At 34.7% G+C, this 19959-nt stretch overlaps 1 protein-coding gene across 12 annotated transcripts in view; it reads right to left on the bottom strand.

The window, feature by feature from the left end:
* Nucleotides 1-19959, bottom strand: part of SPOCK3 (SPARC (osteonectin), cwcv and kazal like domains proteoglycan 3) — a 501562-nt gene that overhangs the window by 153791 nt on the left and 327812 nt on the right. For all 12 annotated transcript variants that reach the window (XM_017008258.2, XM_011532018.2, NM_001251967.2 and 9 more), the window contains one exon: nucleotides 1956-2070. In XM_017008258.2, the coding sequence (XP_016863747.1) occupies nucleotides 1956-2070 (115 nt within the window). The remainder of the gene's footprint in view (nucleotides 1-1955; nucleotides 2071-19959) is intronic.

The following is a 19959-nucleotide window of genomic DNA, read 5'->3' on the forward strand; positions in this document are numbered from 1 at the left end:
CTTTAATGCACATAGAGTTCCTTTTGCAGCTTGTGATTGGTTATCATAAATTAATACTACATCAGCAATACCTTTTCATTCAAAACAAAGTTTAAAAGCGGGAAATCTCATTGAAGTAAAGTCTTTTTCAAAGTCTGTGATACATTAGAGATATACACTTACTATGACCACATCTCAAATGTTGTTCTTAATAGCCTTCAGTGAAAAAACTGGCTCATGGATAGTGAACCTGGTAGGATTTGTTTCCCACCTGAAGTGATTTCCAAAGATAAATGTGGTCAGTTTTGTCTTCAATTTAATTGTGAAAATGTACTCCATCAGAAGTGGGAATGAGGAAGGCACAAACATCAAAGAATTTCAGTTAAAAGGAAACCACAAGTAGCTTTTTGATTATCTGGGGGCTAATTAGTATATTCAAGGTGGTACTGAAAGTCCTTATTTGGGCTGTGTTGAAGAGAGTGGATTGGAGGAGATGAGGGCTGAGGACTACAGAAGGAACCACACTGGGTAGTTAAACTTAGACTGGGGCATGTCAGCAAGGATGAGGCTTAAAGAACAGGGCTCCTGGGCAACATATATGTTGCAGTTTATACTGCTCGGGTGATGGGTGGGCCAGGATCTTACAAATCACCACTAAAGAACTTACTCATGCAGCCAAATACCACCTGTGCCCCAATAACTTATGGAAAAAAAAAAAAAAAGAAGAGAGCTCCTGAAAGGCAGCGTGGCATCTCTCTTCTACCAACTGGTGTCATTCTTCACAGGATCTAATGATTGAGCACTAATTTACCATTAATTTTCAAATCGGCTAATTTATTTTTGAATAATAAAAATAGTCTCTCTTAAAGGTAATGCTATAACATTTAGTTTTATTTTGTTTTTTCATCTTAAATATTTCTTAAAGAGTTAATACCAATATAAGTGGCATAACTGAAGTTTGGAAGTTATATCTGTAATAAAATATTTATGTGGTACTTTAATATGGAATAACAAGTATATCATGCTCAATGAAATACATAAGTTTATATTAAAGAAATTTCATACTCAATACGTTTTTCCTATTTGCATATCCATTCTTCACATTTTTTAGGAAAAAGGGCAAAAATTACTTATCCACACTAATAAGGGCATCCAATAATAATTATTAGATTAGAAGAGTTCAATAGTAATAAATTATATAACTGTTGATGACAGTGCTCTAATGCTGTAAAATATTTTTTGACTTAAGCATCTATTCTCCACACTTCCTTCTTTATCTAGAGGTGCTGAGGGCTGGAGCTAGCAGCCATGGAGACTTTTTAAAAAGGCATAAACAATATTTCAAATATAATAATGATACCATGTAAACTATAATAAATAATCTTAAGTCAAGTTATATATTATAGTACATATCTAGTTGAATGCATTTTATTTTTATTAGATAGTAAACCAATAAAAACAATGAATTAAAGACTTCATCTGGTCAAAAAAAAGTTTAACTTATAAAATTATTACACAGGAAATTATGAAACACCAGCTGTATACATGGGGTAGACATCTTTATTTAAAATGGTTAGTATTAATTGACTGAGCAGTTGCAGATCTGATCAAACCACTTAATTACTTACTACTTTATCAATAATCAGTTTTCTGCTCTAAAAGAAAAAAATGATATAAAACACATGTTTTAGACACAACTGTTTATAGAATGCATTGGTTTAGATTTCTTATATATGATGAGCACATAGGAAAGAAGTATCTAGTTATTACTATCAAAATAAATAGAAATCTAAAGAAAATCATTTCTTGCTATAATAGTTGAGGCTAACAGGAAAATATCTTCAATAAAAATATAAATGATATTGGGTATTTGTATAAAAACAAACTTCATTGTGTATTTAATGACAACATCTATTGCAAAACATTTTAGTAGAGAGTGATGAATGTAAAATTATAAATATATTTTTGTCACTTACCTCTCTTAACATTTCTGCTTGTACTGGTGGGCTTATCTGAAGGACATGGGCAATGTCCTTCACATTTGACTGAGATCTGTTTTCCTAAGACACATGCCTGATATTCTAGTTTGCACTGTATAAAAAGAGAAAAAAAAAGTAATTCAAATGCTTTAGTTATATCAGTAAAACTCAAGAAATTTTTAGAAAGAAAGGTAATTTTTGATGCATATAATTTGGAGATTTTTCCACCAGGTAATACGTCTCCAATACTAAAGTGCAATATTACACACTTATGTAGAGTATTACTACTTCGTAAAAGAGGCAGAAATGCAGTTGCTTTGGGTATCATTTTGGTGAACAGTCACTGAGAAATATAATAGGTTTAAAAGTCATTCTTAGTTTGTCAGATCTATTATATGACATGAGTAGAACATTTTAGAATCAAATGGAGAGACGCATGACATAGAGTTTGACAGTACATCTCTTGAGCTTCTCAAATATAATCTCGGTTTTTGGTTACTTAAGTAAGCATGTCTTCTCTTACTTATTGGACTCTAAGTTTTGGCTACAGAGACTCTATGCATCAGTCTTTAGCCAGTGACTTGCACAGCATCAAATGGCCCATCTTGTATCCCCCAGGCAAAGAATTGTAAAATATATATATGTAAATTGATGTGTTCATTAAATAGTTCTATAGTTACTTGTGATTTTCCACAAACATAGCACCATAGCTCAAACACACATTCATACACATAGAGAACAAACATATATATTTACATACAAAATAAACCAAATATTTATGTAGCCTTTATATAATATACTCTGTATGTATATATATTTCACATATATTTTTGGTGTGATGATGTGCTTAGTGTCTCTCTAATCCTCGTGTGCAAATGGTTTTTAGACTGAACTTCCCATAGGTCTTACATTGGAATAAATGTGCATTTGTAATAAGATATTGTCACATATCTTACGTTTCTACAAGCCCCAGAGTTTATTTCACTTGTTTTACAAAAAACAGTATAGCATGCCTCTCTTCGGTGCTTGTATGACCACAGGATTGAAAGCACTTAAGATGGTGATGACAGTGCATTTCTGATTCCACCACACAGGTAATGGAAAAAGATAAATAAGTGGTCTAGAAGAGAGGAATGCCTGAATCTAAATCTTCTGAGTACCATCTCCTAAAAGTAACATTTAGGGCTAGTTGCTCAAATGCTCTCAGCCTCAATTTTCCCATTAAAAAATCTGGGATAATGATACCTAATTTCCAGAGTTTTAAGAACCAAACAGCCAGTTTTTCCCCACGCAGTAGCTATCATGAACCAGGCTCTCGGTAAATGCTAGTAAAAGCTGAATACTCTTAAACAATCAAAAATACTATGACACATGATATTTTCATTTGTTGGCTAACTTCTTAGTTTAGTTTTACTTATATCTGGCTTGATTTTCTTTGTAAACATTACTCCTGGTAGAATTTTAAGCCTAAGTATTTTTCATTTATTTCTAGAATAATATTTTATAACTGTATATTTGACATGATTAAAAATTATACTCCCAGTTATGTGGTCAATTTTAGAAAAAGTGTGATGTGTTGCTAAGAATTTATATTCTGTTGATTTGGGGTGGAGAGTTCTACAGATGTCTATTAGGTCCGCTTGGTCCAGAGCTGAGTTCAAGTCCTGAATATCCTTGTTAATTTTCTGTCTCGTTGATCTGTCTAAGATTGACAATGAGGTGTTAAAGTCTCCCATTATTATTGTGTGGGAGTCTAAGTCTCTTTGCAGGTCTCTAAGAACTTGTTTTATGAATCGGGGTACTCCTGTATTGGGTACTCATATATTTAGGATAGTAGCTCTTCTTGTTGCATTGATCCCTTTACCACCATGTAATGCCCTTCTTTGTCATTTTTGATCTTTGTTGATTTAAAGTCTGTTTTATCAGAGATTAGGATTGCAACCCCTTCTTTTTTTGCTCTCCATTTGCTTGGTAAATCTTCCTCCATCCATCCCTTTATTTTGAGCCTATGTGTGCTCCATCTTTTAAGAGTCAATAATTATCTTCCTACTCTAAAAGAAATAGATCTTGCTAATTCTGAAGTAATATGACTTCTTTGGTGGCTACTGCCATAATTTACTCAGAGAAAATGATTTTAAAATTAAATAGGGTAGACTTTCTGGCTCCAATCGACAAATGCACCAGTGACTAATTTAATTCAGCTTTAGCTGATATCAAGAAGCACCGAATGCACCCAATAGCTAATCAGATTACTCATGTCTCTACAATATTTTTATTTTTTCTTGTCAAGTGACTCCTTAATGGACAGTTGAAATTCTTAACGAGCCCTGCAACAAATGATTAAAAATTATTAAGGACTTTGAACATGTTTATAGTAGCATATTCATCCTTTCAAGAGAACACTTTCAATGGTATTGTTATTTTTCATTATTCAATGCTTCAAAAATTGAAAAAAAAGATTTTGTCAGTAAAATCACAGTGCATTTTTAAATGTAATTTAAAAGTCCAAAATCTATTCGAAGGTAGACATAAATAGTTAAGCAATTATGAATGTTTTAATGAAAGCCAAATGAATTATAACTTCAAATTTAATATTCTGCACTGTATCTTCTGTTAACTTAATATTTCAGAACCCTGAACTTTCTCATATAATAATTCTGATTCATGACATAATTTAAGGAAAGTTCAGGAGCAACTGTGAGTGGTATAGGAGCAGACAAAGCCAAAAGTCAATATTAATTATAGCTAATATTACATTTTACCATTTGAATATATGTTTATCTCCCTTCATAGATGTGTTATACCACACTCATTTATGCTTTAAATGTAGTTTATTTAGTAGTGATTTTTAAAATATAAACAACATAAAAGCCTGGCTAATACTTGAATGAACAACAAACATACAACAACTATTAGTTTATTAATAACAGGAATCATATTTTCTGCCCAAAAGTTGATGATTCATTTTTTATATCATTAGGCACTAGGAGAATAACTTACAAGAGAATTACATAATCTTTATAAAAATTTGGTTAATTCTTCATCAAAATATGTTTCAGCTTGTAGCTTTCTTTGGCATAATTACAATTTAAAATTTCAAAGCTGTCTTTATGATTTTCATGAAATGATAAAATTATAGCTTTGCAAAAGTTACTTTATATGTGAAATGATTTCAGAATGATTCTACTCAACACCTTTTTTTCTATGCATTTCTATAAAGAATAACAGAATCAGATGTATAGCAAATATGCCCTTTGTATATAATCATATGATTTTAGCTACTTTTTATCAGAAAGCTACTTAGTTTTATTTACTTATGAATTAAAATTGGAAAAAAATTCCATGGAGAATTTTACTCAAAGAATATTAGGACATTAAAAAATGCTACTTTAAAATATTTTTTAGCTATACCCACTGATTGCATTTCTAATTAATAATGTTCAATTTACTTAATTACCACGAAGCTGAAATATTTATAAAGGTATATGTGAACTAAAATATCACATAAAGGGCATGCTCATTAGTCTATAATTACCAAAAAATGCAAATAATGTAGAGAAAGACATGATTAATGCTTTCCTGATTATCTAAGACCCCGAGTATTGAGATCACTTAAGTTACGAGTTCTTGTGAAAAGCAAGCCTGCAGAATGATTTTGACACTAGTCACGGAAAGTTATTTTACAGTCATTTGTTTAATAAGAGGATTGAAGAAAATATGATCATATTATTGGAAAAAAATGCGGCATATGAAAAAGAGCCCAACCTTCAGGGTCAGCAAACACTGCGACAGGCTGTTGTTACCAGCTTTCAAACTGATGAAATCATCATGGCCCTGCTACATGGCTTAAAGCAGAGGTTTTCAGCTGGGGATAATTTCACTCCCCCCTCAAATGTCAAAATTGACATTTGAGACAATTTTGTTTGTCACAACTGGAGGCAGAAGGGAGAGTGATTGTTTGGGCATCTACTAGTTAGAAGCCAGGAATGCTGCTAAACATCTTACAATGCAAAGGACAACCCCCCTGCCAGAACAAAGATTTATCTGGCCCCAAATGTCAACAGTGCCTAGACTGAGAAGCCTTGATTAGGCATTAGTCTACTGTAAGGCAATGAAAGGGTTAATTCAATTCTCAAGATCCCTTCCATATTTCCCTTAGGAATTTTTTCTTGGGCATTCACTAAAGTAATCCATATAAAATAACAATTCTACAAACCAACTGTCAATAACAATTCTACAAACCAACTTAATTATCTAGAGAAACCAGAAAATACAAATCAGCTAAAGCGAGAAAAGATACAGTTGACAATAGCCTACTTTCACTGAGGCACTACTATATGTCAAACACTGTGTTAAGCAGTTTAGATGTATTATTCTTTTGATCATAAAAACAAGACATATTTTTACAATAAATTTTTCAAGTGAAGTTTAGAGAGCTTATGCAACTGATAAAAAAATATAGGGCTGAAATGGGATTCAAGCACTATTTTATAGTTCTAATGTAGAACAAGTATGTAATCAGCAATAGAAATAGCAGCAATGTTATTTTCTTATGGTAGCAATACAAATTTTCATTCAAGTGAAAAACAAATCAGAAAATATGGAATGTCATGAGTCACTTTTTTATTCCCCATTTTAATCTATCTTGGACTGACTAATGTATTATATTTTTAATGCTCTAAATAGCCAATATCAAAGACATGCTTTGAACTCTCATAAACAGCATTCCTCATATTCAGCTGTAGCTAACCCTTTCCCAAGAAAACACCGTTCACTAAAGTTCTTCTGATCCCTATTGAATGGTGTTCTCCATTCAAACATAACCACAGGAGGAAATGAGGACTCCAGCCTTAAATCCATTTGTTCATTCAATCAGGATATATCATTTGCACAAAATGTCTTAATTGCAGCATACATACACACACAGGAAGTTAAACATAGTAACAACATTAAAAACCCTCTGCACCACAGTGGACACTACACCATTTTTCTCTTTGTGGAACACTCTACATTTCATCACGGAATAACACCCTGCTTCATTGGAGGAGCATTTCCTTTTCTCACCAGAAACTTGACTTCGAAAAACTTCTTTTTATATCACAAAATGTTATATTAATAATATATCATACTGGCCCCACCACAGGGAAAAAAAATCTTGTGCCATAGGGCAGGTGAGAGTCATGTTCCTGCTTTCTTAATTCAGTCAGAGGGAAGAGAGGCAAGCCCTTTGCAAGGGTAACACTAGAGATGTGAGCATAGGTGCTCCTAGGCAAACTGAAAATGAGAAATGGACCCACAGAGTCCTGAGAATATTAAAGTTCTTAATTCAAGCAGTCTCTAAGGCTCACAGATATACAAGTTAATTTTTCATTTTACCTTATACTTCAAACTTTAGGCATTCAAAATGGCATCTAGAAACTGGCAATTGTAAAGAACTAGTTGAATTTAAGCTAACTAAGCTGAGATGAGGAAGTAAGGACACGACAACCCAGGTTAGTAAGTGTGCAATCCTTGTCATGTAGTCACGAACAAGTTAAAATACTGCTCCAGTTGGTAACCAGATTAACTGACCAAGGAGAACTTCCGGGAAAAAAAGTAACAAAACCATACCTAACCCTTACCTTACTAAACCCATTCTCTCAGATGTACTATATCCTCTGGACCAGTATATCTCTAATTTTCCAAACAGGAATTATTAATACGAATATTTTATTTTTCTCCCAAAACTAAACACACCTCAAAATACTCTGCAAAAATTTCTCATTTGACACAAAGCTCACAATAGCCTGCAGTGGAATATCAGAAAATGCCAAAAAGAAAACAACTGGACACATGGATGATCCTAAACTTCAAAATGTAATAAATTTTAAAAATGGAAAGATCAAAAGGCTAGTAGGTTTATCTTATAATAATTTCATTTTATTTGTTTAATTAAACTTTGTCATTCAAATCAAAATTCTTGTTTGAATTATTCCAGATTAATGTTGCTTTCAATTAAAATAGCTTCAAGTAAAATAAAACCTATAAAAATAGGTTGTTTAATTATTGGTATGATACATATGATTAATAAAATCATTTTTACTTACTCTTAACTTACATTTTTTATTATTTACCTTAGTATATAATACGAGATTTGCCAAATAACAACTAAGAGGATTTTTCAAAGAGATACAAGTGTTGTTAAAAATAATAAAAAATAAGATGAGAATAGAAGGTCATGAGTATAGCATTTCAGAAGAAATTAACTATACAGATATAAATGAGAGTCAATTTTTTAAAAGAATGGGAGTAAGCAAGAAGGGATGCATTGTAAAAAAAGAATGCAAGTAGCGGAAAGATTCAGGGCAGAAGGTTAAGTTTAGCTAACAAAGAAAAGACTTTGAATACTTCAAAGTAGTAGATGATTTCAATGGTTACCCAAACATAAAAATACTGAAGTGTGATAGCTTGTACATACATTTCAATGTCTATGTGGTTTACATAACTAAATTGTTACATTAACTGCTTTAAAATATATAAAATGTGAAGAAATTCCTTGTTTATTATGCTTAAGAAATACCAAGGGCTTATTTTAAAATATGTACTATTTTTATAACCAAGATACATGTGAAATGATCAATGGTCACCAAACTGTTTTATGCACTGGTAGCAACAGTATATTTTGGGATTTCTAAATGAGAAAGATGGGCAAGAGCTGGTGAATTTAGCTTTGGCACAATTATACAAACACATAAAACATAGTGTTTCCTCTGTGTAAAGTCTCCCCTTGAGTAAATCTGAGGGATTAACCTAAAAAGCCATGATTTCCTGAGCCCTAAAATGCCCTCTGTTGACTCACTTCAAGAAAATGTGTACATCTGACACCAGGGCCCAGATCACACATTTGGGAAGAAGTCCTGGCAATGGTGGCATAGCGAAGAGGAAGGAACTGTTAATCAGAGCAGTTAGAACATTATTAAGAGTAAGTTTCTATAGGAAAGTGAGTATAAAAAGGAAGAAACATGAGGATAAAGTGAAACAGAGAGTGGGTTATCAATCTCAGGGGAGAACCCTACACACTTCTGTCTATTGCTTCTTAATATGGGAGTCACCAAGGGAAATTTTCACAAGGCAGCCCTGGAAGAAACAATGCTTTACTCACATCAAGAAGAGACAGAGCAAGATCGGCTTCAGTGTGTTTGTGCCCTGCCCCCACCCATGGCTAATGGACCCTCCAGCAGCTGACACAAGGCAACTGATGTGCACCTGTTTCCTGCTGCAGTAGAAGGACCCATCCTCTCTTACATGTAATCTGAAATCCAGAAAGCTTTGGGCCTGCCTGGGGGCCACCGAGGTGCATGCTTAAGCAGAACAAAGGAACACTCATTACATTTGAAACAGGAAGAGATACTCCCACACAAGGTGCTAAGCCAAGCACAGGCTGTGTGGCCTCCCTATCTCTCGGTAAGGATGTGTTCCAGGCTCATGGCCCATCTTTATGTGGATGAGTGGGGGTCAGAAGACTGCACATGAGACTGCCTTCCTCAATGCCAATCCAATGTGTCAACATTCTTTGCCGATTGCCTTTTTCCATGTTTGTAAATACTTTCTCCATGAATGAGAAACTTACATTTAGTTATATGTTCAACCAATTTTCTTAAATGTGCAATAGAATCAGTCTTACATTCTTGCTGCCTTCCTCTGTAGTATAAAAATTCTAGGAACTTTTCCAACTACATGGCCCATGTTCTTAAATACAGGTGGGTTTACCATCAGGACTATATTAGAGAGCTCAACCCTTCCCCCCTTCACCAACTGGGGGGCCCCTCTGATTTACTTTGAGCCAGGGAGGGCAGGGGAAAAGATTAACTTTTTTTTCCCCCATAGCTCCATCAATTACTAAGAGTACTAAAATCTCACTATGTGCCGTTGAGATATGACAGTTTGTCCTGGTAAAAATTGCTTTATATATCTCGAGACTATTTTATTATATACTTCCATGATTGGAACTATTGTATCAGATTTTCCAGGAGAATTAACATATTAATCATTATGTAGTAATTCTCTCCGCCATTTTCTATGGCTTTTATGTGAAAATCTAGTTTGTCTAATATTAATAGAATTGCCCTATTATTGTGTAGTGTTGGGGGACAAGTACCCGATGTATTGCTGTGCCTTGTGGGAGCAGAGACACTGGCAGCCTTTTGTTCTGTATTATCTATTCAATTTTGTTTGTTTAGGAAATATAGTTGCAAGACAGAGGTAGTGTCTCCTTCTAGAAGAGAGAGGAGGGTTTTTTTCCTGTCCAGTAAAAAAAGATAATATCTCTGCATGAGCAAAGGTTGGGTGGGATTGTTTGCAGTCTTTTAGAAAATATTGGGATTTCCTTAGCTGCAACACAAAATCAATGTGTGAAGAACATCAAACTATGCCACTGTGCATTACCCCTGCGGGACTTGTGAGCAAAGGAGAACTGACACGAACATCAAAGATTATGCTGCCCGTGCACTAAGTACAATATTCTTTGTCTCTGGCCCAGGGTATCATGTCTTCTGCCAACCTCCAAGAAATTGCAGCATCTTGCAAATGGGATAAAATTTTCAGACCCTTCACAGTTCTAGTGGTTTTTGGCAACGATGATGAGATGCTGGCTGAGAAGTGGCTTTCTGTAAGTGAAAGAACACAAGTCTCACAGACCATATTAGAAGACCTAGTAGTGAATTATATCACCCAAATCATGAACAAGGGTAGTGAAAGGCTCAACCATATTCTCTGTTATTAAAAGTTTCAAGCCTAGTCTGGGTGTCATGGCTTATGCCTGTAATCCCAGCATTTTGGGAACCCAAGGCAGGAGGAGCACTTTGAGGCCAGGAGTTTGAGACCAGTTTGGGAAACATAGTGAGATCCCATCTCTACACAAAAATAAAAATAAAAAAAAAAGTGGCTGGGCTGGTACTGTGCACCTGTAGTCCCAGCTACTCAGGAAGCTGAGGCAGGAGGATCACTGAGCCCCGGAATTCCAGGCTGCAGTGGCCTGTGATTGTATCACTGCATTCTAGCTGTGTGACAGAGAAAGACCCTCTCCCTAAAAAAGAAAAAAAAATATTTTTCATGTCTGGACAGTAGGTTTGGCTCAAACTGTTCCAATGGTGCTTTGGTTGGTTATTGCTCACTAACCTCTGGGCAGGGGGAGGAAGGGTTGTTATCTTGACAATGGGCTCAAGGTTTCTCTCTCTCCAAGTGAGACAGAAGGCCCAGTACACTCATTCACCTATACTGAAGAACTTTGCGATAGGGGGTGATACAAGCTTTTAAGACTGTGTTGGATGCAGGCACCCAACCCAAGTCACTGTTATGTCTGGTTCTGTTGGAGAAGGTGGCACTGGATTCAACTGATAATATCTGGGCAGGGTTTACACTATAAAAGGTAATAAGGAAGGTAAGCCAACGTGACCTTTCCTGTGAGGCTTTTGGGGCCAATTCAATGCATGCTATTCTTACTTCCACATCTGAATTCACATTAGGTAGTGATGTGCTATATACTTGTACTTTTTTATCTGGTAAATGGTAGAAGAGATTCTCCCTTACCATGAGTGAGCCAAGATTCATGTGTAAAGAAGTTTTCTTGTGGGAGATGGAAACCTCTTATCGTTTGCCAAAAATAGGTGTGTGTAACTTCATACAATGGTTAATTTCATGTGTAAATCTGAATGGGCTAAGGGATACCATATAGATGGTCAAACATTATTTCTGGGCATGACTATGAGGATGTTTCCAGAAGGGATGAGCATTTGAATTGGTGGACTGAGTACAGAAGACCCTCTCACCAATGTGGGTGGGCATCATCCTATTGGTTGAGGGTCTGGATAGAATAAAAAAGGCCTAGGCAGTGCAAATTGCCTCTCTCTGCTTGAGACATCTATCTTCTGCCCTCTGACATCAGCACTCATTCCACTCAGGGTTTTGGACTCACATCTGGGACTTAACCATCTGGCCCTTGACTCTCACACCTTGGGCCACGGACTGAATTATATCATCATCTTTCCTGACTTTCCTGCTTGTGGACAACAGATCTTGGTACTTGTTAGCCTCCATTACCACGTGACTCAATTCCTATAATAAATCTCCTCATATCTATCTATCTATCTATCTATCTATCTATCTATCTATCTATCTATCTATCTATCTATGTACCCTATGGGTTGTAATTCTCTGGATAACTTTAACAAACCTTAAATGCCTAAAGCTTTTCCTATGCAGATGATACCCTGTTGTTTGGCAAGTCCAAAGCCTCTATCTCCATGACTCTGACTACAGTATTATTACACCTCTGTCAGAAGAGATGGCTGATAAACTCTAACAAAGTTTGGCATCTGTTCAGTGTATTTCTTTCTTTCTTTTTTTTTTTTTTTTGAGACAGAGTCTTGCTCTGCCACCCAGGCTAGAGTGCAGTGGCATGATCTCAGCTTACTGCAACCTCTGCCTCCCAGGTTAAAGCGATTCTCCTGCCTCAGCCTCCCTCAGCCTCCTGAATAGCTGGGATTACAGGCACACGCCACCATGCCCGTCTAATTTTTGTATTTTTAGTACAGATGGGGTTTCACCATATTGGCCAGGCTAGTCTCGAACTCCTAACCTCATGACCCGCCTGCCTCAGCCTCCCAAGATGCTGGGATTACAGGCATGAGCCACTGTGCCCAGCCCCTGTTTACTATATTTCTTAGAGCTATGCAGGTGGATTTACAATGCTTATCTCTCTAACAGTGAAGAAAAACTGCTATCTCTTTGATTCTTACCACCAAAATGTAGGCCCAAAATCTTATTGCATTCTTTGGGTATTGGAGAGAGTATATTCCCCACTTAGGCATTCTCCTTGGTCCTTTACAACTCAACTAAACCAACAGACTGATTTGGAAGCCACTCAGCAAGTTGTGTCACATCTCCTACCTGTGGGACTCCACAACCCTCATGAGCACCTTGAGCTACAAACCTCTATTGAGACTTTTTCTGGTAATGCTGCCACTGTTCCAGTTTTACCAGCTGTCTCTGACAGCATCACTGTACCGTTTAAAACTAATCTGTGTCATATGTTTAGCTCTTTGGGCTATTTGCACTCTGACAACAGTGCACTTTTTATCACCTAATCTACTCAGTAATGTGTTGGCCGGCAAGGTAGTTAAGCACTTTTCATGCTCCCGACCACCCACAAGAATCTGATATTGTTGGGCATTGGGATTGGCTCTTAAAAAATAAACTCAAAAAGATTTATGTCTCTGCCTCCCTCACCTCCACATGGTTCACATATCTTAGTAAGGCAATTTGGTCCCTGAATTTTGCTGTCCCCAGAAAAGGAGCATACCCTCTCAGCTGGCTCTTAGGTAGCGAATAAGATGCAAGGAGGCTATATATACCTATTTTAAACATTGAGAATTTCTCTTTACTTTCCCTGCCAGCAACTGCAGGCTGCCCTGGTCGCTATGCCCTCCAGTTGGCAGCCTGTCCAAAGGAGGCCTTAGGGATTCAAACTCAATTGTGGATCACGCTGCTCTTTGAATCCACTGATAGTAGTATATGCAGGCCATAGTCGAAAACATAATGGGTCTCTCTTTATAAAACTTCCCTTGTCCCTCCTAATATACTCTTATGGATAAAATGTTCTTGTGTAAAGTTTAGGAGTTGATGGAAAGAAAGAAAAATTTTAGTGATCGTAATGGGACCCACTAATCTTGTGGTAATAGAAGGGGAACAACAACAGGTATTCCTGGAGAGGGAACACCTTCAACTCTGAAATAAATAGAGGGGCAAGATACATTCATGAGCTTTTGTTTTTCCATGCCACCCTGACATCTTTCCTCCCCAAGGAAATGTCCTTGTATGTCTCTCAAAGTGTTGCAAGTGTCTTAAAGTTAACTGCGTGCTGTGTCTGACTTCCCCAGACATTCCTTTTTTCCATTTCACTTAACCTTACCAGAGAAGTCTAGAAACAGGAGATGGCACCAGCTCCTGAACCTCCCATGCAAATCACCTGTCAACACCATCAGACGTCTTTCCCACCTCCCCTCTCATTCTGTGGGGTGAATGAATGCTACCAGTCTGGTTGCTAGAAAAACCAAGACAAATTAGGCACACTTCCCTCAGCTATCACTCCAAAAACAAGGAGTAGAGTCTGTTATTCTAACTGAATTGGGAAACCTGAGATCTGACAGCAGGCTGGAGAGCCATATTTGATGCACTGTCAGTCTATGTCCCCTGAACGATATAGGTCCCACCTGCAAAGTCACATCAATGGGACAACAGACTCATCATTTATAGATACCTTGCAGGAAGTTCTTTTCGTAACAGGAGGTATGCAATTAGAAAAGTTGATAATAAATGTTTCACTAACACATTTTGCGAAGTGAAGTGATCAATGACAGGACATTGTTTCTGAAAGGCATTCAGGTCAGTCACAGTCCACTGACCAGATATTTTGGATGACACAATTGTCCAGGATGCCTCTCTGTAGGTCAAGTAGTGACATCTATGCAATCACTAGTGTATCCTGCTGCACCTGACTTAATTCCACAGGCCAAGTAGAAAGCCCAAGACAAACACATAAGGCAAAAGCCACGTTGGATGTATAAGGTAGATCTGGATGATTTATGCGACGTGTCCAGGAGGTTGGTTCTGAGACTCTGGAGTGGGGGGTCGGAGACACTGCTGAGATAAATTTTGCTTGCAGGTTTTTATCATCCTCCTGCTTAGAGTTCCCTTGATGATATCCTTAATTAAAAGCTACATGAGATAAATTGAACAGATTTGGTTCAAACACCTGTTGATGGAGTGGCCTACGTAGAGGAACATTCTCTAGAAGCCAAGATATGGAAACAAAGGGCAGATACTGTTTGGAGGCAGATCTCCTGGGTTCACTCACATTTTTGCACATCATGCAATCAGAGGCACTGACAGCTTTTGTTCCGTGCACTCTTTTCAAGGATGTTTATGTAGCAAACGGACTTAGAAGGTATTTTCTTCTGAAATACTGGCTTTTGAATTTTAAAAATTTTCTTTCAATATTTTAAGTGTACATTTCCACCGTTTTCTGAATCACATTAATCTTGCTGAGATGCTTTTTGTTGGTATAATGGTACAATATTTTTGGTAGGTAATATGGCTTTTTTGTCTGGATGGACTTTACTTTGGTAATCTCTCATTTTACTGTAACGTGTCTAGACTTGGGTTTCTTCTTATTTATCTTACTTGGTATACACTGTGTTTCCTGTACTTGTGGAATCATGTATTTCATCACTTCTGGAAAGTTCTCAACTAAAATTCTCAACTAAATTCTCTTCTAATATTTTCTCTGTGTTATTACTTCTGATTACTCTCTATATTTCAGATTAAACTTTTGACTTTCTCATTCTACTCTATAGTCTATATATTCTACCTTTTTGGGTTATTTTTCAGAAATACGTATGTGTATACATGTACATAAATATATGATATATATAATATTTGCATATATTTCACACATATGTAACATGATATTTACATATATTATAGCTTATTATTCTATGTTACGTACATAATACATATACATGTACACTCACATATATATAAGTTATAGTTCATTATCTTGATTGAAGTTCATCTAATCTGCTGTTTAATCTATTGACTTAATTTTTAATTAAATAATATTTTAATTAAATGCTATTTGGCTCTTTTAAAAGCTGAGTAATTTTTTCTGAAATTATGTTTGGTAATGCTTGAATATTTCAATATCTTTTTAAATGTTTAAATGTTTCATACATTAATATATATTATACAGTTGATGTCTGTTACTAATAATTTGTCTCTAACAATTTTAGAATTTTAAGTATTTAAAATACAAATCTTGTCTTGTTCTTGCTGTTGGCATTGTTCACTCTTGCTCCTGTTAGCTTGCTTCATTTTGTTTATTAGTTTATTTGTATTGTATTAGTGTGCCCCTTTATTTATATTTATTTAATTTATATTTATTTATAAATTATTTATAATATAAATTATAAATAATTTATAATTTAATTTATTAAAAATTAATAAATATTAAAATTTATTAAATAAATTGTGAATTTGAGTTGGCAGAACAAACTCTGTGGAATCCTTAGACGTTTGAATTAATAATAGATTTCTACAGAGAAAGTATATATTGAGGCTTCCAAGTCTTGGTGTAACTTAATATATGAAATCCCTTAAATGTTCTCAGCTTTGGGCTTGCCTGACCTCTGCTCAGCTGTAGTGTAATTCAGAACACCAGACCCATGCAAGAGCAGCTCAAAAGCATCAACATTATACCATAATAATGGTATTATTACCCCATGCTACTGGAAGGACCTGTAGGTTACTTTTCAGATTTCTAGTGCCTGATGACAAATATTTCCCGCTTTCTTTTCACTGGAGGCACAGCTGTTCAGAGGGGTTGTCTAATTCATCGACGTGACTGTGCTTTCATATCGAGCCTACTCTACCATTCTTTCACAGGCCATTAATCTTAATATTTCCGGATTGTAGTTATTGACAGGTGTTTTGTTTTTTCCTGTCTCAGTTTCTGTGTTAGTGTTGTTACCTTCTAGTTTCATTTGGCTGTTTATTTGGCTTGCTTCAGATACAAAAACATACTTAATCCACTGTCAATTCACATAACAAGACTAATTTTCTTGGTAGAGTGCATTTAGGGTGGGAAGCGGTTAAAGGCCACTAAAACATACAGTGCTCATAGAGTATATCCAGTGTGATTGTGGGAAGAATATAATTTGCTCAGATACCCTAAAAATGATATGACAGTCACATTCTATTATTTTATAATTCAAATGATTATAAACTGATATAGATAGATACAATATATGGCATACTATTTTTTCTTTATCTAGAAAAATAATTGTCATATTAATTTTGAAATCATTTGTGTATTAGTTGTTGATATAAAATTAGCATGTTTAATTACATATTATGCAAAATCATTTTATTATATTATTACTTTTATATAATCTATATTTTTATTCATAGCCATATTATTAGTCCTGCTCCTTACTAGTTCTATCCCCGATGAACTAATTTAAAATCTCTCTGTTTCAAATTCTTATGTTTAAAATGGGAACAATATTAGTGTATGTTAGTGTATGTTATATATCTTATAGCATTGTTAAAATTAAGAAGTTAATGCATATAAAAATTAACGCATTAGCTTAATTGAGTCATTCATTAATACATTAATTTAGAATACTTATTAACACACATTATGCAATCATGATATGTTAATTTCTTAAAAGAATATTTTGTTTGTTGATATGAGTTGGGTGCCTCTGACAAAAAGATTACAGAACTCTTCCAAAGGTACTGTACATACACTTACTTAATTACCTAGAAACTTTTTGAGTAACTCAGCTGAAATAAATTCTAGTAACATAGTAAGGATGGCACATGCTATAGTTATCTTTACATATGAATAACATTATATTAGTTGAAATAAGCCAGACACAGGAAGATAAATACCACATGTTCTCACTCATATGTGGGATTTAAAAAATATTTTGAGCCCCTGGAAGTAGAGAGTAGAATTGGGGGTGTTAGTGTCTGAGAAGGGGAGAAAAATAGGGAGGATAAAAAGAGGTTGGTTTACAGATACACATGGATAACCTATTTACTTTTCTATAACCTTTTTGAAGAGTTGAAATATATATGGTTTCTTTATATCTCTCCCATCACCTCCTGTATTCTTTTTCCTTGGCAAAGTGATGAATAATTAATGTTACAAAGGACATCATTCAGGTAAAATTCACATGTGATAAATGCATCAGTTAAGGTCTTGCTGGGAGTTTTATTGCACAGTACAGTGCTGTGGTTAACTGTGTGTGCGCTTAACTGGGCTCTGATTCCAGCATTGTAATTCACCAGCTTTATGGCTGACATGGGCTTCCTTTTCTTTATCCCTAGTTTGTAGACATTATAAAAAAAGTCTTGTAATTTTTTTTAAAGATTAATTTACTACACATAAAATATTTAGGATATTAACTGATATTATTATACAGTTATTTTAGCAATTACTACAAATATTACTAGAACTTCTATTACCACAACTAGTATATGCCTAGTATTATTATTATCATTACACTTCTCTTAAAGAACATGTATATTTAAACATGTTCTACATAGTTTAGGATTTTTTAGATAAATGCATTCCTTATAAATACAAACTAGATGGACTGTTTATAAACTACAAGATCTCTAAGATATAAAAGTTAACATGAAAATTCCACAACTGAATATATGTGGTGTTAGTCCTTTTTTAGTATATAGTAACAAAAGATGTAGACACTGATATTATATGTTCTATTCTGTGATGGCTACAGAAAACTTAATTAACACGGGCTTAAGCACTATTAAAACTTTTCTTTTTTTACATGCAAAAATCTATAGGTAACTTCATACCTAATGTTGAAAATACTGAACACTTTTCTTATAAATTGGGACTAAGGCAAGGAGATACATTGAACATTGTAGTGGAAGTCCTAACCAAAACCTAAGGCAAGAAATAGAAAGATAAAAAAGGAAGAAATAAACCTGCATGTATTCATGGAGAAGGATATTATATGTAAAAAAATCTGGAGAGATGACAAAACATTACTAGAAATAATAAGTGAATTTAGCAAAGTGGCAATATACAAGTCAGTATAGAAAATTAACAATATAACAATATACTATCAGCAAACCATTAAAAACTGAATTAAAATTAAATTTACAATAGTACTAATAAAAAAGTACTTAACAAATTTAATAAAGGGCATTATGAAATTCTATACTGAAAATTACCAAACATTAATTAATGAAATATAACTAAATGGAGAGATATACCAAGTGTGTGGATTTGAAGATTCAGTACTGCACAATATCTAAAAAATGATTCTAGCTTGTTTTCTATAGAAATTGACAGACTGATTCTGAAATTCTTATGGAAATGCAAAGGGTAAACACCAAAGCAATATTAAAAAGGTATAACAAAGTTAGACTTTGCATCTGAATTCAAAAGTCAGCATTAAGGTACAACAAATTAGACATGTGATACAGGCTTAAGGATAAATAGTTCACTGACCATACTAAAGACAGAAACAGACCCACACTTTTAGGACCATTTCATTTTTGACAAAGACATCAAAGCAATCCAATGAAGTAAGATGCTATAAACGATTCTGCAACTGGTTGGCCACTTTTTTAAAAATTTTGTGTAGAAACGGGTTTTTGCCATGTTGCCAATGCTTGTCTTGAACTCCGAAGCTCAAGGAATTTTCCCATCTCTGCTTCTCAAAATGGTGGGATTATAGGCGTAAGCCACCATGCCTGGCCTGGTTGGCTACATAAAAAAAAAAAAAAAAAAACCTACCTTCTACTATACACAAAAACTAATCAGTATCATAGACCTAACCCTAAAAGTTAAAATTTTAAAGCTTCTAGAAGACACAGAAGATTGTTTTCTGCAACGAGTAATAATCACAGAAAATTGACAATATAGGCTTATTTATCATGCATAATATCTAAAAATATATTTTTATCATTAATCTGATATCACAGGCTCTAATTCAGTGAGAAACAACTCAATAAATTTAAAAGCCACATATTTTTATTTTTTAATTTTTTTTAGTGATTCAAATAAAGGTAGTCACCACATCATGTGTAGCAATATAGAAAAAAATGAAGGGTAATTAATTTAGAAAATGAATTTGCTTCAATTTTACATTAAAAAATTGAAATGCAATTAATAACATGGGCTCTGGACTTAGCTGAGTAACACTGGTCAAATGACTTAAATTCTCTGTGCTTCACAGTTCTCATCTATAAAGGAGGGATAACAACCAGTTAACATATTTAAAATATTTAAAGTATTTGCCAGAAAATATGGTCTACATAAATGTTTGATTTATATATATACACACACATTATACATATGCACACACACAAGTGTATATATGAGGTTATGAAAGTTAATGTAGTGAAAAGGCCATGGGTTCCC

This window comes from Homo sapiens, chromosome 4 (assembly GCF_000001405.40).
Source record: "Homo sapiens chromosome 4, GRCh38.p14 Primary Assembly".
In the NCBI taxonomy this organism is placed as follows: domain Eukaryota; kingdom Metazoa; phylum Chordata; class Mammalia; order Primates; family Hominidae; genus Homo; species Homo sapiens.